This window comes from Homo sapiens, chromosome 1 (assembly GCF_000001405.40).
Source record: "Homo sapiens chromosome 1, GRCh38.p14 Primary Assembly".
NCBI lineage: Eukaryota > Metazoa > Chordata > Mammalia > Primates > Hominidae > Homo > Homo sapiens.
This window is the reverse complement of record NC_000001.11, coordinates 176807532-176826933: the sequence shown is the minus strand read 5'-3', so window position 1 is coordinate 176826933 and position 19402 is coordinate 176807532. Positions and strand designations below refer to the sequence as shown.

The following is a 19402-nucleotide window of genomic DNA, read 5'->3' as shown; positions in this document are numbered from 1 at the left end:
CAAAGGTCTGAGTCATGGGACATAGATCTTGATTAAGTAGCAAGACCTGTCCCAGCTCACAGTGAGAAGCTCTACAAATTTTCCTTTTTCCTGTATATGTAAACACAGGTCTAGAGGGGCCCCGCACATTTTCTATTCTGCCCAATTTCTGCAGACTTTTTCCACAATTTAGACATAACTATTTTATCATCCCCAGTAATATCCAGGTCCAGTTGACCTGAAAAATGGCAAGAGGGAGGTATCATGTTTATTCCAGAATGTTTTCTTGCCAATAGTCTTGTTTCTTTTAGCTTCAGTCTAATATTTAGTTCCCATGTCTATGGACAGTTCAGTTTGTGTGGCTGATCATTGTGCTTCTGATCCTCAACCTGCCACACATCCTGATTTGTTGGACCAGCTGTTCCTTTCTCCCCCAACTGGTTGGTCCATCCAGTCTCACTTTCACCCATATGGAACCTATTCTCTGTGCGAGTGTCTTGTTTACATTCCCTTTATCTCCAGGATGCTTGTCTGTGTATCTAATCCACTCATCACTGATTGACTGCATCTGTTTCACAACATGTTCTCTGCTCTCATTTTCTTGGTCTCTGATCCTTGCTAAGCAGAGTTCATTGGCATATCTCCTTTTCCATTTATTCTGGTTTAAATCTTGCAAGCCCAGAAAGGGTTCCTAACAGGTTGTCAGCACTCCATCTTCATCTCTCAGTTGTATTTTCTAAAAGTCATTTCTAGTTTATACATCATTTATTTGTTCCTTTGCTTTTAATCTTCCTACCAGTCTAAGAACATGGACTCTAGAATCACACTACCGAGGTTCATTAACTGGTCCCATATTTACTAGCTCAGGAGATTTGGGAAGTTAATTAAATTCTCAGCCCCTCAGTTTCCTCATCAGTAAAACAAGGATGGTAGCAATGGTAATAATTCCTCATAGCGTGACGTGGAATGCTAAAAACACTCAATAATGTTATTCAATATACTGAACAATCCCCAGTTGTCTTTTTTGTTTGTTTGTTTCCTGAGCTAAATGTGCCTGGATACTCTTCGTATCAATGGTTCTCTGTCTGTGAGGGTGGAGCGCAGCCCTGCCAAAGTGGCTACTTAGTGACTTTGACATTTTTCCTCTTTCTTAACGGTGTTCTCTAATCTCAGGGATCTTACCATTTACCTTGCTCAACTATGGGGATATAATACGTAACATGGTTTCAAAGCAAACAAAATATACAATAATCAAAGTTATCTGCAGTACCTAATTACCTTAGATTCTATTGATAGCTGAGGTATAGCAGCAATGCTCTATCTAAGTTTGTCTTGAGTCTCCTAGTCTCTCCTTTCTTTTCTCATCGTCCCCACCTTCATGCTGAACTCTTTGCACCTTCTAACGACCCCCATAACCAATGTCTCCATCCCTGCCACAGTATCTGCATATTTTCCTATTCCTCTGGAAAGCCGCTGACATACTAGAGGGTCAAGGACTAATATGTATCTGCAATTAAATAAAAGATAAAAGAATAAGGCAAGATATGAAATTAATTACAAGAAGTTTGCTACTTTATGAACCACATTTGGAAGACAACTACTCGGGGGATAAATGAGACCATGCATAACACCCCTAAAATTACCTAGTAGAGGTAGGTACCTATAAAACACAATCGGAAAAGCCGGCTCTGTGCATCAGGGCATTGTCTGCCTGGGTGAAGTAAGTATGAGCAAAACACGTAAGTTATTTGGTAAATTTATCAATTTAACTATTTTAGTGATGGATCAATCCAAAGAACTTCCAGAGATCCTGTCAGGAAAAGGAGGTAAGAGGAGGAAAGGCAGGAAGTAAGTCTCCGAGGAAGCACTAAGAAGTGAACAGATCATTAGCTTACCAGTTACCAGTCAATTCCACACAGGGTTGGCGCTCAGGCTGGGCCCACAGGACATGGAACCAGGTCAGAGGCAATCTGGCCAATGAGCAAGATGGGCAGCCTGCAGGCACTCCAGTCTTAGCTGTAGTGCCATCAGGGTCACAAGCAGTTCTAAAGCCAGAGACCATTCCCAGACCCTAACAGCATTTCAGACATGCATCACCAAGTTTAATATTTTTCACATTAGAAAGACTTCAGTTGAATCTAATCTCATTTTTAATTAGTCCTCACATCGCCTGGTGAGGCAGATTAATATGATTATCCATATTCCACTGATGGGGAAAAATGGGACAAAGGGTCGTGCCCCAAGGTCACTTGGGGAATGAGCGATAGAGGTGCAAATTAAACTTAACTATTTTAAACTTCCAAACCGGCAGGCAAACATGAGGACATTGGGGAGTCAATTTCATCTCTGTTTGTTCAAAGGTTTTCACATCTGGATAATGCATATTCAATTTACTACTTGGTTTCTCTAATTAAAAAATAAATTAGAAATAAAGTACTAATTCTAGCTCTGAACTGCAATATTCTATATTTAATGCATAAGAAATTTCCCAAGGAATATATGACAAGAACAGCCAAAGAAGAGAATAAAATGAGCATCACTTAGCCAAATGTGAATATTTATTAACTACTTGTAGGATGTTTACTATTAAATTTGATTGTGTGTGTGGCAGTATAAACACAGAAAAATTCAACATGGCCCCTGCCAACTAGAAGCTGGTTAACCAGACATTCAAAATAGATACAGCAACAAAAACACATACAAATAGCACACACCTCCAACTATGCAGGCAGCAACCAGGTCTTTTTGTTCCCCACAGCAGATGTTCAAGCAATGTGTGTTGATAAACTGTTGACTGAGCTTATTTCAGAGCAAACTGAGACAGTGTAAGAGGCAAGCCCACGGTACTGTCATCCACCACTGCCATCTTTCCAATCCTGTTTACTTTATCTTTAACTCCTCTCTCATCATTACACCCAGCAAACAAATACTATCCTATTGCAGACATAATTTTGTATTCAGACTCTTTTCTCCTTTCTTTGCACTTCCTCAGTTTGGTGAGGGGGCTGTTACATTAGTTCAGGTGAGAGATGGTAACACCCTGACCTCCATGGTTCAATTTTGCCACCATGATTTCTTCTTAGACTATACATCCTACCTTCTTTTCTCTCTTACAGAGATTCTTAATGCTCACAGATATCTCTGTGGTCCCTCAGATTGTTCTGCCTCACTTATTATGGGCTGAGGGAATGTGACCATATCTGGTGAATGGGAGGACCAACAGAAATGATGCATTACTTTTAGTCCAAGGGAATCAAGAGTTACCGGCCTCACTTTGTATTCCTCCTCTGTCTTCAAGGAGGCAACCATGGAGATCACATTTTGAAAGGACAGAGTAATAAGATGGAAGAAATGAATAGCTGCTCTAGAGAGTTATACCAGACTTAATGTAAGTGAGAAAAGTAATGGTAAATCACTGCAATTTTAGGGTTAATTTATGACCACAGCCTACCTTGATTAATTCATATTCTTCTATTTATAAGCCCTCATTGGATCAACACTGGCTGCAGAATAAAGCCCAAATTGCTTAGATTGGCATACCAGAGATCTAATGATCTACCTTTTATTTACCTCTTTAACCTTGAGTCATTCCATACTTCCTTATCTCCCTCAAGATCAGCTTCACTGAGCAGACTAATAATACTTTATGTTATATGCCATTGACATTTGGGGATTGTTTGTTATGTGACCTTATTGCAGGAACACTTGACTAATACAGACAGTAGTATCAGAAGTAAAATGTTACCATAACAAACAAACAAAAAACCTAAAATGTATGAGATTGGCTCTGGAATGGAGGGGCAGGAAGCAAAATAAATGTTTCAGGAGGCTGGAAAAATTATGTTCTTCATTTATGTGGTAGCAAAGTATTTCATAAAATGTTTCCTATAGTTACTTGAAAGAGAAATTATATTGTTAATTGTTATTACTTGCAGGCCAAAAATTTAGTAATGCCCTATTGGCTTTGAATAAAGAAGTTTTGAAGAAGAATATTACTAGGATTAGTTGGTGGTTATTACCTTAATTTGATAAGGTACTGCGAGAAGAGATGAGTGCAGAAAAGGTTATTGCTTTGCCAGTAGAATTGACCGGGAATATAAATTATTAGAAATTCTAAAACTTGTAGTACTGAAAAATAAAACCGTTTCTTATCTCTGGCCAGTAAAAGATCAAATTTCATAATAATCTGCATTAGAAAGGCCTTCTAAGACTGAAGTTAAGACAATGTTAGGCAAAGAAACAAATTAAGGAGTGAACCATTACATCATTTGTTAGGACCTTCAATTGGATTAAATCAACACGTAGGAGATCCTTGCAGTTTACAAAAGGACTCTGAGGAAACAGCCTAAGAACTTTGTCCAAGAGAAGCCTCATAAGCTCAGAATACCTATATTTATTAAGAGAGGCATTTCTTGAAAAGACTTGTGAGTATAGCTCTTGCCTTATGAATTTTACTGGAATTAAATATATACAAAAATCAATCAAATTTGTGGGAGTTGAGGTGCCAAAATCACTATCAACCTGGATTGTAAGAGACCTACTGTTAGTGACCTTTGGGCCCCCTATATTCTACAAGGAGGAAGGAAGTTAAGAAAGATACTCAGCTTCCAAAAGTGGATGTTCCTCACTGCTTTTAATATATGACCAAATGAGATGGTGGAAAATGAAGACTCCTTAGAGATCAGAGCCAAGAGTCATGAAGAACAATCAACTAGGAGGTGACACCCAGGGAGTAATCGAAAGTTTCTAAACAAGAAGTGCTCCCTACTCTCCCAGTAGTGGTTTTACAACTTTTGCTCAAAGAATGAGAGGTGGGCTTTATGCACCTCCCACTCTTTCTCCTTGAAAGGGAATGTTTATTGTAGTTATTTATTTCTGCTCCACTTTGCATGTGGGGTGAGTGGGAGGCAGGGAGCTTGTGATTTTAGTACATAAGGCTCCAGATTAAGAGAAGCTACATTGCAATCTGGTATCAATCATGAGATTCTAGATTTCAAACCTGATGCTAGGACTGGATAAGACTGTTGGAGTGTCTTGGCATAGGGTGGAGTGAATGTGTTTAACGAATGCTTGCGACTGCAAAGGCTGACTAGTAGATATTATTCTTTGTCTATATTCTTTTTACTCACCCTTCCTTTGCCATGAGTCCACTGTCAGCAGAGCATAATTTCACTTCCTACTAACTTTGGATGCAGCCATGTGGTTTGCCTTAACTAGTGGAACATAAATGTATGTGACACATGCTACACTTGACAAAAAGTTGGAAATGCATGAGCATGCCTTAACTCACCCTTTTGTGCCCAGCTATCTACCATGAAAAGAACATGCCCTGTGTAGCTGCTAACCGTGAAACTCTAAAGCCTAGGTCCCTGAGGGAGAGACATATAAAGTAAACTTGAACCCAGACCACAAACTAAGAGAGTCACTTTAGCCAACTTGTAGATGCATGAGTGAGAAGTTGCTATTTAAGACATTTATATTTGTGGATTATTTTGTTATGCAGCTTTATTACAGAAAGACTTGATGACAGCTTCATGCCATTTCCTTTCACATCTTTGCCTTTCATGCCTATTTATGCTTCAAATCTACTTCAAATAATTACCCCTCTATAAAACTTTCTCCATGGAATTAGGATAAGTTATTTGCTTTATTCCCTGTGCTCCCATATGCCCTTATTCATATGATTGTATTATCGGCTTATACTCATTGGATAGTAATTTGATATTTTTTATCTCTATTGTGTACACTGTGATGGGAATTTCTGATTCATTTTTGTAATCTCAACACATCGTAGGTACTCAGAAAATATAATTTTCACTGAAGAAATACATAAATGGACCTGAAGCAGTGATCATAATTTTGTAACCATGGTGTAAGTTGAGAAGAAGGCTATGACATTCCTGCAAATCCTAGCCATTGGGGGGAGCAGCAGACTTTTAGACTGAAAAATGGTATGAGGCACATACAAAAAAGCTGGATTAATTCTTTTTTCATGTGTTGGAATTTGGAGCCTTTGTTTCTGTAGCTAAGCTTGGAGAGGTGGGAAGATGCTTCCCATGCATGAAGTATCGTACATTCCTGGGTTAGAACATATTTCCTTTGGGGGTTGTTGTGGTTTCTTTCTTTTTCTCTTTTCTTTTCTTTTACTTTTTTTTCCCCAGCTTTGGAAGCCTCTAATGTTTGCAATAACAATAACAACAACAAAAATATGAGGCTGGCCAAGTATGAATCAGGAGAGAATTTGCACATGCTGTGGGTGTAGGAGATGGGAAAAGAGGGTAGGAGGCAGAGGGAAGGGAGAAGAAAAGAAAAACGCTGTTGCCAGGAGTTTAGCAGAAGAAAATGCCATGCATGACATGTGGCTGGCACAGTGGGCAGCAACATCTGTTCTCGATGAGGATCCCCAGTGTACACTGCCATGTGCATGTGCATGTGTAAGGAAACACCCCGGCTGTGTGCTTCAGGAAGGCTGATCATGGCTCCAGTCTCCCTATTCTGAAATGCTGCCTCAGTGGCGGCCTCTCACCATGGGTTAGATCTCCAGCCAATTTATTCTTGCAAAGTATGTTGCAGGCTAGAATGAACTGTGGAAAACAAGCCCGAGAAAAGCCACAAGAGCCTCCTGACCCATTTGAATCTTTCTCCTGCCAAATTCTCATTACTGATCTTAAATAGAAAAACAATGTATACGACTGAAAAGGCTATGGAGAACCTACTGGAACCAAAAGGCTTACTTAGGATCACTGGGCTTTGGAGACAAGGATGGGGCAAGTCCATGTTTTCAAAATAGGTGCGTGTTGTTTTTTTTTGTTTTGTTTTGTTTTTAGTTTGGTTAAGTATCCAAAGACTTATTTGCTGTTTTCTTGTCACTCTGTTCAATGAAATAGAGGCCAAATAAGGTAGAGGATTTGTACCCCCTATGGAGTGTGGGCATCCTCCCAAGAGGAGCTTCTGAAGGAAAGTTACCCCAAGTTGCTCAGCTGGTGCTGGGGGGTTACTAGGAAGCCCCAGATCTGGGCTGTTGTTAGTCTCCTTAATCAAGGTCTGATACCCAGTTTGGGGGCCTGCACTCAAGTAGATTCAAAGAGATGCAAAAACTAGTTCCAGGCTTTAAGCTGGACTGCACTGAAAGTGCAGAGGCTCTCTTTCTCTTTATCAGATCACGCTGCAGCTTTATGTATGCAACTCCTGGAAGGCATTCTGCTTCCTTGGTCAGGACTCAAAGTGGGCAGCACACAGGATGTATCACCTGCAGTATGGCTATGCCTCGGCTCAGCCTTGGCTTGCTTCAGAAGACTTCTCACACGGGGATGACAATGATGATAATCCCATATGTGTGTAGCATTTTAGTGTCTACAAATGCCCTCACAAACATTATCTCATTTGAGAGCCAAAAGAACTGTATATGTCAAGCAAGGGAGATACTTTTTCATAAGAGTTAAATGTTAAATGACTTTGATTGAGGTCACACAACCAAAGAGAATAAAGGCAAGAAGTGGAACCAACTCTTCTTTCTCCAATGTACAAACAGCCTTCAAATAGCTGAAGAGACCCTCAGAGACCAAACTTCCTCATCCCCAGAGTCCCAGTACAGAGTGATGCTAACCATAGGCTTAATTTAACAACAACAACAACAACAAAACTGTCAATAGAAAAGACTTTTAAAGGACTCATAACATTCAGGATCTCTTGCCAACTTTACTCTTCTCAAGTCAGCAAAATTTTCCTTTCTCTATCATGGTCAAGTGGCTTCTGAAGATCACTACCCTGCTGCTGACCCTCCCCCTGACATGTGGATGCCCTTAACTTCTTACCTCCATCATTCACTCAAAAACTATTGACCATCTGCCATGTGCCAGTCACTACGTCACTGTATTAAGACTTGAGATATAACAGTGAATACAATCTGCAAAACTTAATGCCCCGTGGAACTTATATTCCAATGGGGAAAACAGACATCAAGCATAACAAATAACTCTACAGCAAATTAGAAAGTGATAATTCTACTAAATAATAGGGCCAGTATAAGGGAATTGGGAGTGGTGGGGAGATGGGCAGAGAACAAGAGAGTGAAGATGGTTGCAATTTTCAGTCACAGGTTCAGAGAGGGGACATGTGGAGGGCTAGGTAAGCCATTGCAAAGATTGTGGCTTTTATTCTGGATGAAGTGGGGAATTGCCACAGGGCTTCAGCTGAGGAGCATTATTATTTCACTTACATTTTTAACAGGACTGTCTGGCTGCTATGCTGGGATTAGGCTGTGAAGAGGCAGGGGAAGTAGTGAGACCAGTCAGGAGGCTCTTGCAATAAGCCATGTAACAGGTGATGATGGCTCATACCAGGGGGGCAGTGGGTCAGATGGTAAAATGTGGCTGGTGTGTGGATATATTTTAAAGGTAGAGCTAATAGAATTACCTGATGAACTAAATGTGAACATGAGGAAAATGGAGAAATTAAGATGACATCAAGGATTTTGTCCTGAGCAACCGGACGGCAGATGTTGCCATTGACAGGAATGGGAAAGTCCACACAGAGAAACAAGAAACCATTGCATATAAAATACCTTGAATTCTTGAATTCCATCTGCTACTCTATAAACTTTGTCTTTAGTTATTGTTACTCCCTTCTCACTTGACTCTTGACTGAGAGGCAGCAGTATCTGTAATCCCTTATATCTTCTCTTTATCTTTAGTCTTCATGCTCTCAATCAGATTATTACTCAAAGCCAATAAACATGTTCCAGTCTCTTCATCTCAAAAGTCTTTCCATGAACTGTTTTCCACTCAAGTTACTGCCATCTCACTTCTTGTGCTGGCCAACTTTTGGCAGCATTTAACACTCTTCACCATTTCTTTTTCCCTTAGGCCTCCCTTCTTAAATGGGTTTCCTAAGACCACTCCTTCCTTTTCTTCCTTCCGCCTCTCTAGTCATTCTTCCTCTGTCCCCTTGACTGGCTTCACTTCCTCTGCTAACTTCCTGCCTCTATGTCTTTCCCCACCTACCTCCTCTCCCCATTCACACTCCTGCGTGACCTCATCCATTTACCTGCCTTCAATTAGCATCCATACGTTCCTCCTTTCTCAATATAAGTCCCCAGCTGAGACTCTGTTTCTGAAATCCAGATTTTTATTTCCAATTCTACTGAACAAACTCAGTCTAAAGCCAAGCCCATTATCTTCTCCTATAAGCCTGCATCTTTTCTTTTCTTTCTTTCTTTTTTTTTTTTTAACAGAGGTTAATGGCATTCAACATCTACCCAAGCACCAGGGAGTTAGATTCAGAACCTCATTTCCTCCATTGGATGGAATTCTAGAATCAATTTTATATCTTAAAAGAAAAGCTTTCAATGATTACTTCTTCCTATCTATACTATTGGTGCCTTGTCTGGGCTGTCACTATTTCTCTCTTGAAATACGGACACCGTCTCCTAACCATTCTGCTTATCACCCGTCACTCTTCCATGGACTACATTTCCAGCAATGTATCACATCTGATCTTGTCATTTCCTGGTGATAAAATGTGTCAGGCTTCTCAATGCCTTCAGAAAAAGTTTACATCCCAAGCACGGCAGCATTCAACACTCTTCCTAATCTGGCCCAAGACTCTCTGCAGACTCCAGTTTTCCACATGCTCCATCCTCTAGTGGTTCTCTAAATATCTTGTGTTTTCAAACTCCTGTGCCCTGTGCTCATAGTATTTTCTCTGCCCATGGAGCTTTCCACTTTGTCCCCAACTAGTGGAATTATTATTCTTCAAGGCCCCAGGAGTGAGTGCTACTTTGTTATGAAATCTTCCCCAAATTTATGTCCCATGCTCACCTCTTGCCTGCTCCCCAAACACAACCACTTTCTTTTCTCTGATCCCCTAGCGCTTAGAACATACCTCTCCCCAAGGCAGACTGGGGATTCCTAGGAGATGGGGTCTGTGCTTTCTATTGATTACCTTTATATTCCTAGGATCTAACATGATTCATTCACAATAAATATACAGTCCTTTAATAAGTGCTCCTCTATCTAAAATTTATACTTTCAGGAGTTAACCACCTTGAAGAGATCTTTGCTTGACTTTAGGTGAAATAAGAATTTAGAAGAGACAACAGAGAGAAAAAACAGCAAAGTAAGAGACATCTTCTCTATCAGGTGCCTCTTTTTCTTCCATATAGGCACAGACTCTGTTGAAGGAAGTAGTTAGTAGTAATAGCACACTGGTCACCAAGCATTTATTATCTCTCAGGCTTAGAGCTGGCAAAGTGTGAACACTTGAATTTGTTTTTATATCTTTCCCTTCCAGAAGTTCCACTAAAATATTAGTATAAAAAAGGAACAAAAAAGGCATGAACTCATAAAAAAAAAAGACAACAGGAGAGATGATGGCAGCTGATAAATAAGTCAACAACATTAGAAAACTGGAAAATGGATGGATGAATAGTAGCTGACACAGCAGATGCAGGAAAGCAGAAACCTAAATGCCTAGAATACCTAGAACCAACAGAAAGCTCAGGAATTAGAGGCATCTGGTACCTCTAAAGGCAAAAGTGCAGGAGTGTGTATGCGTGTGTGTGTGTGTGTGTGTGTGTGCGTGATGATGTCAGAGAGCTAAAACCTCATCTATTGTATTAGGAAATCAGGAGATAAAGTTCTAAATCAAAAAATTAAGATTAGCAGTAGAAGCATTATATATACGTGTGTACATACATACATATATATATATATACACACACACACACATAAATTTTATATATGTGTGTGTATGTGTACATATATATATATATATATATATATATATATATATATATATATATACACTGTGAAAGGAAAATAAATCTCAGGATCCCACAATCAATAAGCCAAAGGAAAAGTCAAGCTGGGAACTATGTCAGACAAACCTGCCTTCCATTTTATTCCTAAATAAGATAGCTACAAAGATAAGAAGCCACATACCTTCCTCCCTCACAATTTGTCCACAAGAAGGTTCCTTGTGGAAAAAGGACGGAAAGAACTCAAAGGCATCCCTCTGAGACTCACCTGAGACAAACGCATATCTGAATACTTCCTCTGCCCTACTGTTTATGTAAAAATGCAGATTCACTGAACCAGACTAAATTGTGGATTCAGTGGAAGGCTGATCAAGTTCTCAAAAGAATGTAACCTTTTGCCTCTTGTCTACTTATGATCTGGAGGCCCATGCCTCAGGTTGTCCTGCCTTACCTTACAGAACCAGTGTAGATCTTGCACGTGTTGATTGACGTCTCATGTCTCCCTAACACGTATACAAGCAAGGTGTACCTCAACTACCGTGGGCACATGTCCTCACAACCTCCTGAGGCTGTGTCATGGGTGCATCCTTAACCTTGGCAAAATGAACTTTCTAAATTGATTGAGACCTGTCTCAGATAACTTTTGGTTTACAATACATATACATGTATGCATGTTTATGTGTATATATGTAATTTTCAGAAGAAATAAGTGAAACAGGTGAAGCAAAAACAACAACAAAAATGAAGTGATGGCCTCTGCTGAGAGAGGCTGAGGTTAGGAGCAGAGGGGTAGGAACTGCTAGTCTTCCAAATAAACCTAGAGGTGTGAACTAGCTTTTCAAACTAGGTACATGTATCACTTTTATAGAATTAAAATTAATTTTTTAAAATATTACAAATAAATATAAGGGTGGAGCTGAGATTTAAACCTCTTAGTCAGGAATTGAAGTGTGCATTATTTTCATTATGCATGCTGTTTGCTGCAATTTACAAATATTTGTAATCAACTTAGGAGTGTTGCCCTTTCCTCTGTCATCACTTTACTGTTGGGTTAGTCAAAAGAACAGATACATATGTATACACACATATGTATGCATATACATATATACTTTAAAAAATAAGGTGTAATAAACAGAACTGAAGACAAAAACCACATGATTATCTCAACAGATGTAGAAAAGGCCTTCAATAAAATCCAGTATCTCTTCATTTTAAAAACTCTCCATAAACTAGGTATTGAAGGAACATACCTCAAAACAATAAGAGCCATATATGACAAACCCACAGCCAACATCATACTGCATGGGCAAAATCTGGAAGCATTCCCCTTGAAAACCAGCACAAGACAAGGATGCCTTCTCTCACCACTCCCATTCAACACAGTATTGAAAGTTCTGGCCAGGGCAATCAGGCAAGAGAAAGAAATAAAGCATATTCAAATAGAAAGAGAGGAAGTCAAATTATCTTTGTTTGCAGATAACATGATCCTGTATCTAGAAAACCCTGTTGTCTCAGCAAAAAGGTTCTTAAGCTGGTAAGCAACTGCAGCAAAGTCTCAGGTTACAAAATCAATGTGCAAAAATCATTAGCATTCCTGTACACTAAAAACAGACAAGCACAGAGCCAAATAATGAATGAACTTTCATTCACAATTACTACAAAGAAAATAAAATACCTAGGAATACAGCTAACAAAGGAAATGAAGGAACTCTTCAAGAAGAGCTATAAATCACCACTCAAGGAAATCAGAGAGGACACAAACAAATGAAAAAACATTCCATGCTCATGGATGGGAAGAATCAATATCGTGAAAATGGTCATACTGTCCAACGTAATTCATAGATTCAATGCTATTTCCATTAAACTACCATTGACATTCTTCACAGGATTAGAAAAAAACTATTTTAAAATTCATATGGAAGCAAAAAAGAGCCCAAATGGCCAATATAATCCTAAACAAAAAGAACAAAGCTGGAGGCATCATGCTACCTGACTTCACGCTATACTACAAGGCTACAGTAACCAAAACAGCATGGTACTGGTACAAGAACAGACACATTGTCTAATGGAACAGAATAGAGAACTCAGAAATAAGACTGCTACCTACAACCATCTGATCTTCAACAAACCTGACAAAAACAAGCAGTGAGGAATGGATTCCCTTTTTAAAAAATAGTGCTGGGAGAACTGGGTAGCCATATGCAGAAAATTGAAACTGGACCCCTTCCTTACACCATATACAAAAATTAACAGAAGATGGATTAAAAACTTAAATGTAAGATTCAAAACTATAAAACCCTAGAAGAAAATCTAGGCAATACCATTCAACATAGGCATGGGAAAAGATTTAATGACTAAAACACCAAAAGCAATTGCAATAAAAGCCAAAATTGACAAATGGGATCTAATTAAACTAAAGAGATTCTGCACAGCAAAAGATACTATCATCAGAGTCAACAGACAACCTACAGAATTGCATAAAATTTTTGCAATCTATCCATCTGACAAAGGTCTAGTATCCAAAGTCTACAAGGAACTTAAACAAATTTACAAGAGAAAAACAATGCTATTAAAAACTGGGCAAAGGACATGAAGAGACACTTCTCAAAAGAAGACATACATGCAGCCAAGAAACATATGAAAGAAAGATCAACATCACCGATCATTAGAGAAATGCAAATCAAAACCACAATGAGATATCATTTCATGCCAGTGAGAATGGCTATTATTAAAAAGTAAAGAAACAATAGATGCTGGTGAAGTTGAAGAGAAAAAGGAATGCTTTTACACTGTTGATGAGAGTGGAAATTAGTTTAGCCATTGTAGAAGACAGTGTGGCAATTCCTCAAAGACCTAGAGGCAGAAATACCATTTGACCCAATAATCCCATTACTGGGTATATATCCAGAAAAATATGTCATTCTATTAGAAAGATACATGAAAGTGTATGTTCATTGCAGCACTATTCACAATAGCAAACACATGGAATAAACCAAAATGCCTATCAACGGTAGACTAGATAAGGAAAATGTGGTACATATGCACCAAGGAATACTATGCAGCCATAAAAAGGAATGAGATCATGTCCTTTGCAGGGACACAGATGGAGTTGGAAGCCATTATCCTCAGCAAACTAAAGCAGGAATGAAAAATCAAATATCGCATGTTCTCATTTATAAGTGGGAGCTGAATGATGAGAACACATGAACAGAATGGGGGAACAACACACACACTGGGGCATGTCGGGGCAGGTTGGTTGGGGGAGGGAGAGCATTAGGAAGAATAGCTTATGGATACTGTGCTTAATACTTAGGTAATGGGTTGATCTGTGCAGCAAATCACTATGGCACATGTTCACCTATGTAACAAACCTGCACTTCCTGCACATGTACCCTTAAACTTAAAATAATAGTTTAAGAAAAAAAAAAGGTGTAAGAAAATTAGTAAAATGCATTGCTAGCACTCAGTCCTTGTAATAAATAAGTATTTAATAAAATAATTTCACTTAAATGAACATCTATGTTAGTAGAATGAATTGGAAATGGTTCAAATTTTATGAACTTTCTGAAAGAGCCTGTCTATTGGATTATTTAATTAAGAAATTATGACAATTACCATGATGGTAAATTGTAAAATAAGCAATGCCTTATAGGATTCACGAATAATCTCAATAATGTATTTGTGCCATGATTAGAATGCATTTAAAACACAGTTTTGAAGCACAATTAGAAGTCTTAGTTGAGCAAAGTCCCTGTGAAAAGAGGAGAATCTAGAGTTATCTATAGACATAATTTTGCATGCTGCCCATTCTTATAACTTCAGCAAAATCATTAAGAAGCAGCTGAAGGTCTGGCAGGTTAAAGAAAAGATGGTAGCATTTCTGTGATGGCAATTCTGCAGGCGAGTAATATTTAAATTATCTGCAAGTCTGGGCTAAAAAGGGAAGGACAGTGAAAGAGAAAAAGAACCCTCCCCCCAAAAAAAAAAGAACAAAAAAGCCCAGAATAAATCAGAAAAAGGGTGGAGTGGGAGGAAAAAGGGATAACAGATGTCATAAAGAAAATTAACAGAGTGAGAAAGTGGCCCACCCAGAAGGCCAAGAGGACAAAAGAAGCAAAAATGCAGCCTGTCAGAGAGCCTACCAGGAAGTCACAGCACGGCTCCAGAGGAATTTTAGACAAGCATAAACTCTCACGAATGTTGTTAATCTAGATGAGGTTTTACAATTTGGACGGTTGGTTGTGCTTTTAATGTTTTACTTTTTTAAAAAGCTGGAGGTGGAAAGGTAGGGGGTGTAGGGGTGTGGGGGCAATGGTTTTAGCTTTCAAAATGAAAACCTAGTCCTAATTAACATTTGGAATCTGATTTTCAGAGATTCCAGCTGGAGAATCTGAAGTTGAGCCCTGAACCAAATGGGACTCTAGACAAGCTTAAAGACATGCCGGGATTTTAGGCTGGTGCAGATATTGCACAAAACTGGCAGTGAAATTCACAAACAAATCTCAAGGGGATTAGAATTTGGCAGGTAGTGAGCCTGGAAGACAGTTCCAACTTAAGCAAATTTTCAATTTTTCTCTGGATTTTAATATGTCTAACACATATTTAGATTTAGATTTGTAAGGACCTACACCATCCCTGCTAGAAGTCTAGTAGCTGTCCCTATTATTGGCTTGTAGGCCATTATTATCCCTACCCTAATTAGCATTTTTATAACCCCTTTTCACTCATAGATCCTAAAAAACTTGGCAAGAATTAAAAGAAAAATCAGCCCTGAAGATGTGCCTTCTGAGAAACAGGGAAGGAATGATTATTATATCTGATTTGTAAACAGCTGAAGTGTGGCAAAGAGAAGTTTAATTGTTGGCTATAATTTATATGACAACATATAAATAAAGAGGAAACAAAAGAAGTTAAACAACTATCACACAATGCACAAGTGATAAAGTTGAAATAGAACATTGGTTTTTTTATGCAGATATCACAAATAAGATTCATTTTTCTCTTTATAATAAGAATTCATAGAGACATACTCAAGTGAGATGCTTTTTGAAAGAGCAGTAGCAATTCCATCTGGTCACACTTCTAAGTCCATTTTGGGCTGTGATTATACTTTCAAGCCTTGACATTTATTAAGAATAATCCGTGACTATCCAGTGATAAAAAATATATTACTAAAGTGTAATAATAGAAGTCTTACAGATAGAAAAGACTGAGGAAGGAAGAGTTGAACAGGTTTCATTATGAAGCTGAGGGGAACAGAAAGGAAAGAGATTCGGGATCAGAGAAGCAACCTTAGTGTTGATGTATTCTTCAAGTCCCTCAAAACTGTCATTCTTCTGCTACTATTTTCCCCACACTCTAGACCAGCGAATCCTGCACCTGCAAGTACATCAGAGTCCTCTGAAAGGCCTGGTAAAACTGATTGCTGGACCTCACCCCCACAGTTTCTGATTCAGAAGTCCAGAGTGGGGCCTAAGATTCTGCATTTCTAGCAAGTGCCCAGGTGAGGCTGCTGCCACTGGTCCAGAACCACACTATTGCCCTAGACCAGAGGTCCCCAGTCTGGTCTGCTGCCTGTTAGAACCGGGCCACACAGCAGGAGGTGAGTGGTGGAAGAGCCAGTGTTATAGCCTGGATCTGCCTCCTGTAAAATTTGTGGTGGCATTAGATTCTCATAGGAGCACGAACCCTGTGGTGGACTGTGCATGTGAGGGATCTAGGTTGCACGCTCCTTATGAGAATCTAAATAATGCCTGATGATCTGATGTGAAATAGTTTTATCCTGAAACTCCCCCCACCGACACTGTCCATGGAAAAATTGTCTTCCATGAAACTAGTCGCTGGTTCCAGAAAGGTTGGGACCCCCTAAACCATTCCAGTTCTTCACAGGTCCAGGTTTCAACTGCTGTCACTTGGAAGTCCTGAGCATCTGAGCTCTATGGATGAATGCAAAACTGCCTGCCTGAATTCTGTCTTGAAGTATGTAATCTTGGGAGAAAATCCCTTTCCTGTTTTCCTAAAGGTGGGCCTGAGCCCATTTTCACTGCCACAGAGAATGTGGGGCGTCTGCACTGGAGTGTCTTAGCCACATATTTCATTTCACTTTTTAGAACAAAGAGCTCTAGAATTTCTGAATGTGCTGACAGATTTTACCACACTACAGGGGTGCTTCACAGGGTCAAATGGGAAGAACTGTAACACACACACACACACACACACACACACACACACACACACACACACACACTGCATCTTGTCCTAAAAATAAGGAGACAAAACTCCACAAAGTGACAAACCCCTTCCTCTGAAAGGGTCCGACATGATGCAGAAGCCCGTGATTGCCACTATTCCTCGGGCAATGTCTCCGGCAAGCTAACCTTCCCCATCCCCTCCTCTGATCCTCTCATTTCCAGGCCTGTATGCAGCCTTTCACATCCCAGAATGAAGTACATCCCCTCAATTACGACTTGTTAGTCAGGCTTCAGCTACTCTCTACCTCTTCTTGGCTAAAACTCTGGGCAAGAAAAATGGTACGAAAACCCTCAATTTTTATGCCCTTATTTTCCACCACCTGAGTTATATATTGGCCTCTGCATCCCATAGAGTTGCAGCAGGATAGCAGGCAGTGCCCATGAGTGATCAATAAGCACGTGTCCCAGACACAGCTAACAGGGCTACCATCTGGAATATAAATAATAAAAGGGAGGCAGAGAGAGGTCCAAGACAACAGAGAAGAAAGAATCCAAGGAATAGTGTAACAGATGGATTGAATTAGTGATGGAACCATTGTTGGTATCAACTACTAAATGTGTAAAAACAATACAACTTTCCACCTCCATTTCAGTAATCCAGCCACTCCAATGAAGTTAAATTTGTCCCAAGGCCCCACCTTTCTACTCCCAACTCCTTCCTACATAAATTCCTTTGGAAGTAGTAGTCAGATGATAATGACACATAAAATATCTCTATTGACTGCTTTAAGATAATACAAATATAAACACATTTAAATCCATGGAGTCCTAGATTTACAGGGAAAGAGAGTACCAAACTATAAGCAGTGTTTGAGATAGAAGCAAATGTGTAACCATATCAGAGAGGGAGAATATATATCCTTTTAAAACTCTCCAAAGACTAATATGCCTTTTCAACACCTCCCTTTATAACCTTGTATAAAGTTTAACACTTTTAGGATATTCTCACATAGATTTACTTTAAATAGTTCATTGAGTATTTTAAGCCCATTATATTCTCTTCTGTTCTCACTGGGGGATGGTGACTGCAAACTTTTCTCTAAGTAAAATATTCAATACATGAACATGTTTACTACATTAACCTTTATTCTTCTCATTTTAGACTGGGAAACCTCACTTCTTTTGATTTTTTCCAAAGGTATTATTATTATTAATCTTTTTATATCACTTTTTTGGCCCTCAACAGGTTCTGTATTTTCTAATGCCTGTGGAAGCTAACCCTAAAGGGAAAGTAGAATGAGATCCATGGTGAGATTAATGACAAAACAATGAAATACTCAGGTTTTCTGATAATCTTGCTTATAGCTATTTGCATGTGGCTTGTTGTCTCAAGACCAGAGCCATGCTGCTGTTTACCCAGGATAAGTCACAATTTAAAAAAAATAACTATAATTTTAAAACAATTCACCTTTTTCTGGCTTAGGATAATTACAGTTTTACCACTGTTTGTCAGATCTTCTGACTTCTATCCTTGACCTTTCTGAACTTTATTCTATTCCAAGTGATTTCTTCATTTATTTGAGAACCACTGGAAGATGATTCCTTTTCTCCCAAAATGCGAGCTGGGCACTGCCATGTAACTATTTGCCAGCATATGAATTAATCCCTGCCTAGTGTTTCTCAAAGCACAGTTGAAGACCACTTGCATTAGAAGCACCTGAGGTATTTGTTAAAAAAGCAAATCATTGTATTTCACACCTGACTTGACATAAAAGAATTGGGAGGGAGGGGCAGAACCTAAGAATCTGCATTTAAAAAATAAATACCCCGCACCCTATATAATTCTTAAGCATTTTTTTTTTTACACTATAAGCTGAATCCATTGCCAATGTGAACTACTTAAAGACAAGGTGTGACCAGAGACAGCCCTGGGCATTGCACTGGCTGGGTCTTCCCAATCAACAGAGCATGTAGTAATGATCCGAGATGGGGTCAACTCCTTTGGCTGCCTTCTGAAAGCAGGAGTACATCATTTGGGTCAGAATAACATATCTACTAAATTTAAGAAGTGGCTTCTACTTTATCTTATAGGACTCATTGATTCTTTCACAGAACACGGCATCAGTATAGGAGAGCATGTTCCTTATAAATTTAGGGTCTGTACTTAGAGAAATTTGTTCTAAAACTTTTTCTAGTAGAAAATATCAAACTTGGCCTTGCATGGTGGCTCACGCCTGTAATCCCAGCACTTTGGGAGGCCGAGATGGGTGGTTCACCTGAGGCCAGGAGTTTGAGACCAGCCTGGCCAAGATGATGAAACCCTGTCTCTACTAAAAATACAAAAATCAGCCAGGTGTGGTGGCACATGCCTGTAGTCCCAGCTGCTTGGTAGGCTGAGGCAGCAGAATCGCTTGAACCTGGGAGGCAGAGGTTGGAGTGAGCCAAGACCGCACCACTGCACTCCAGCCTGGGTGAC

General features: G+C 39.3%; 1 protein-coding gene across 6 annotated transcripts in view; it reads right to left on the bottom strand.

The window, feature by feature from the left end:
- The window catches only part of PAPPA2 (pappalysin 2), a 382427-nt gene that overhangs the window by 18668 nt on the left and 344357 nt on the right, over positions 1–19402 (bottom strand). The window lies entirely within an intron of this gene.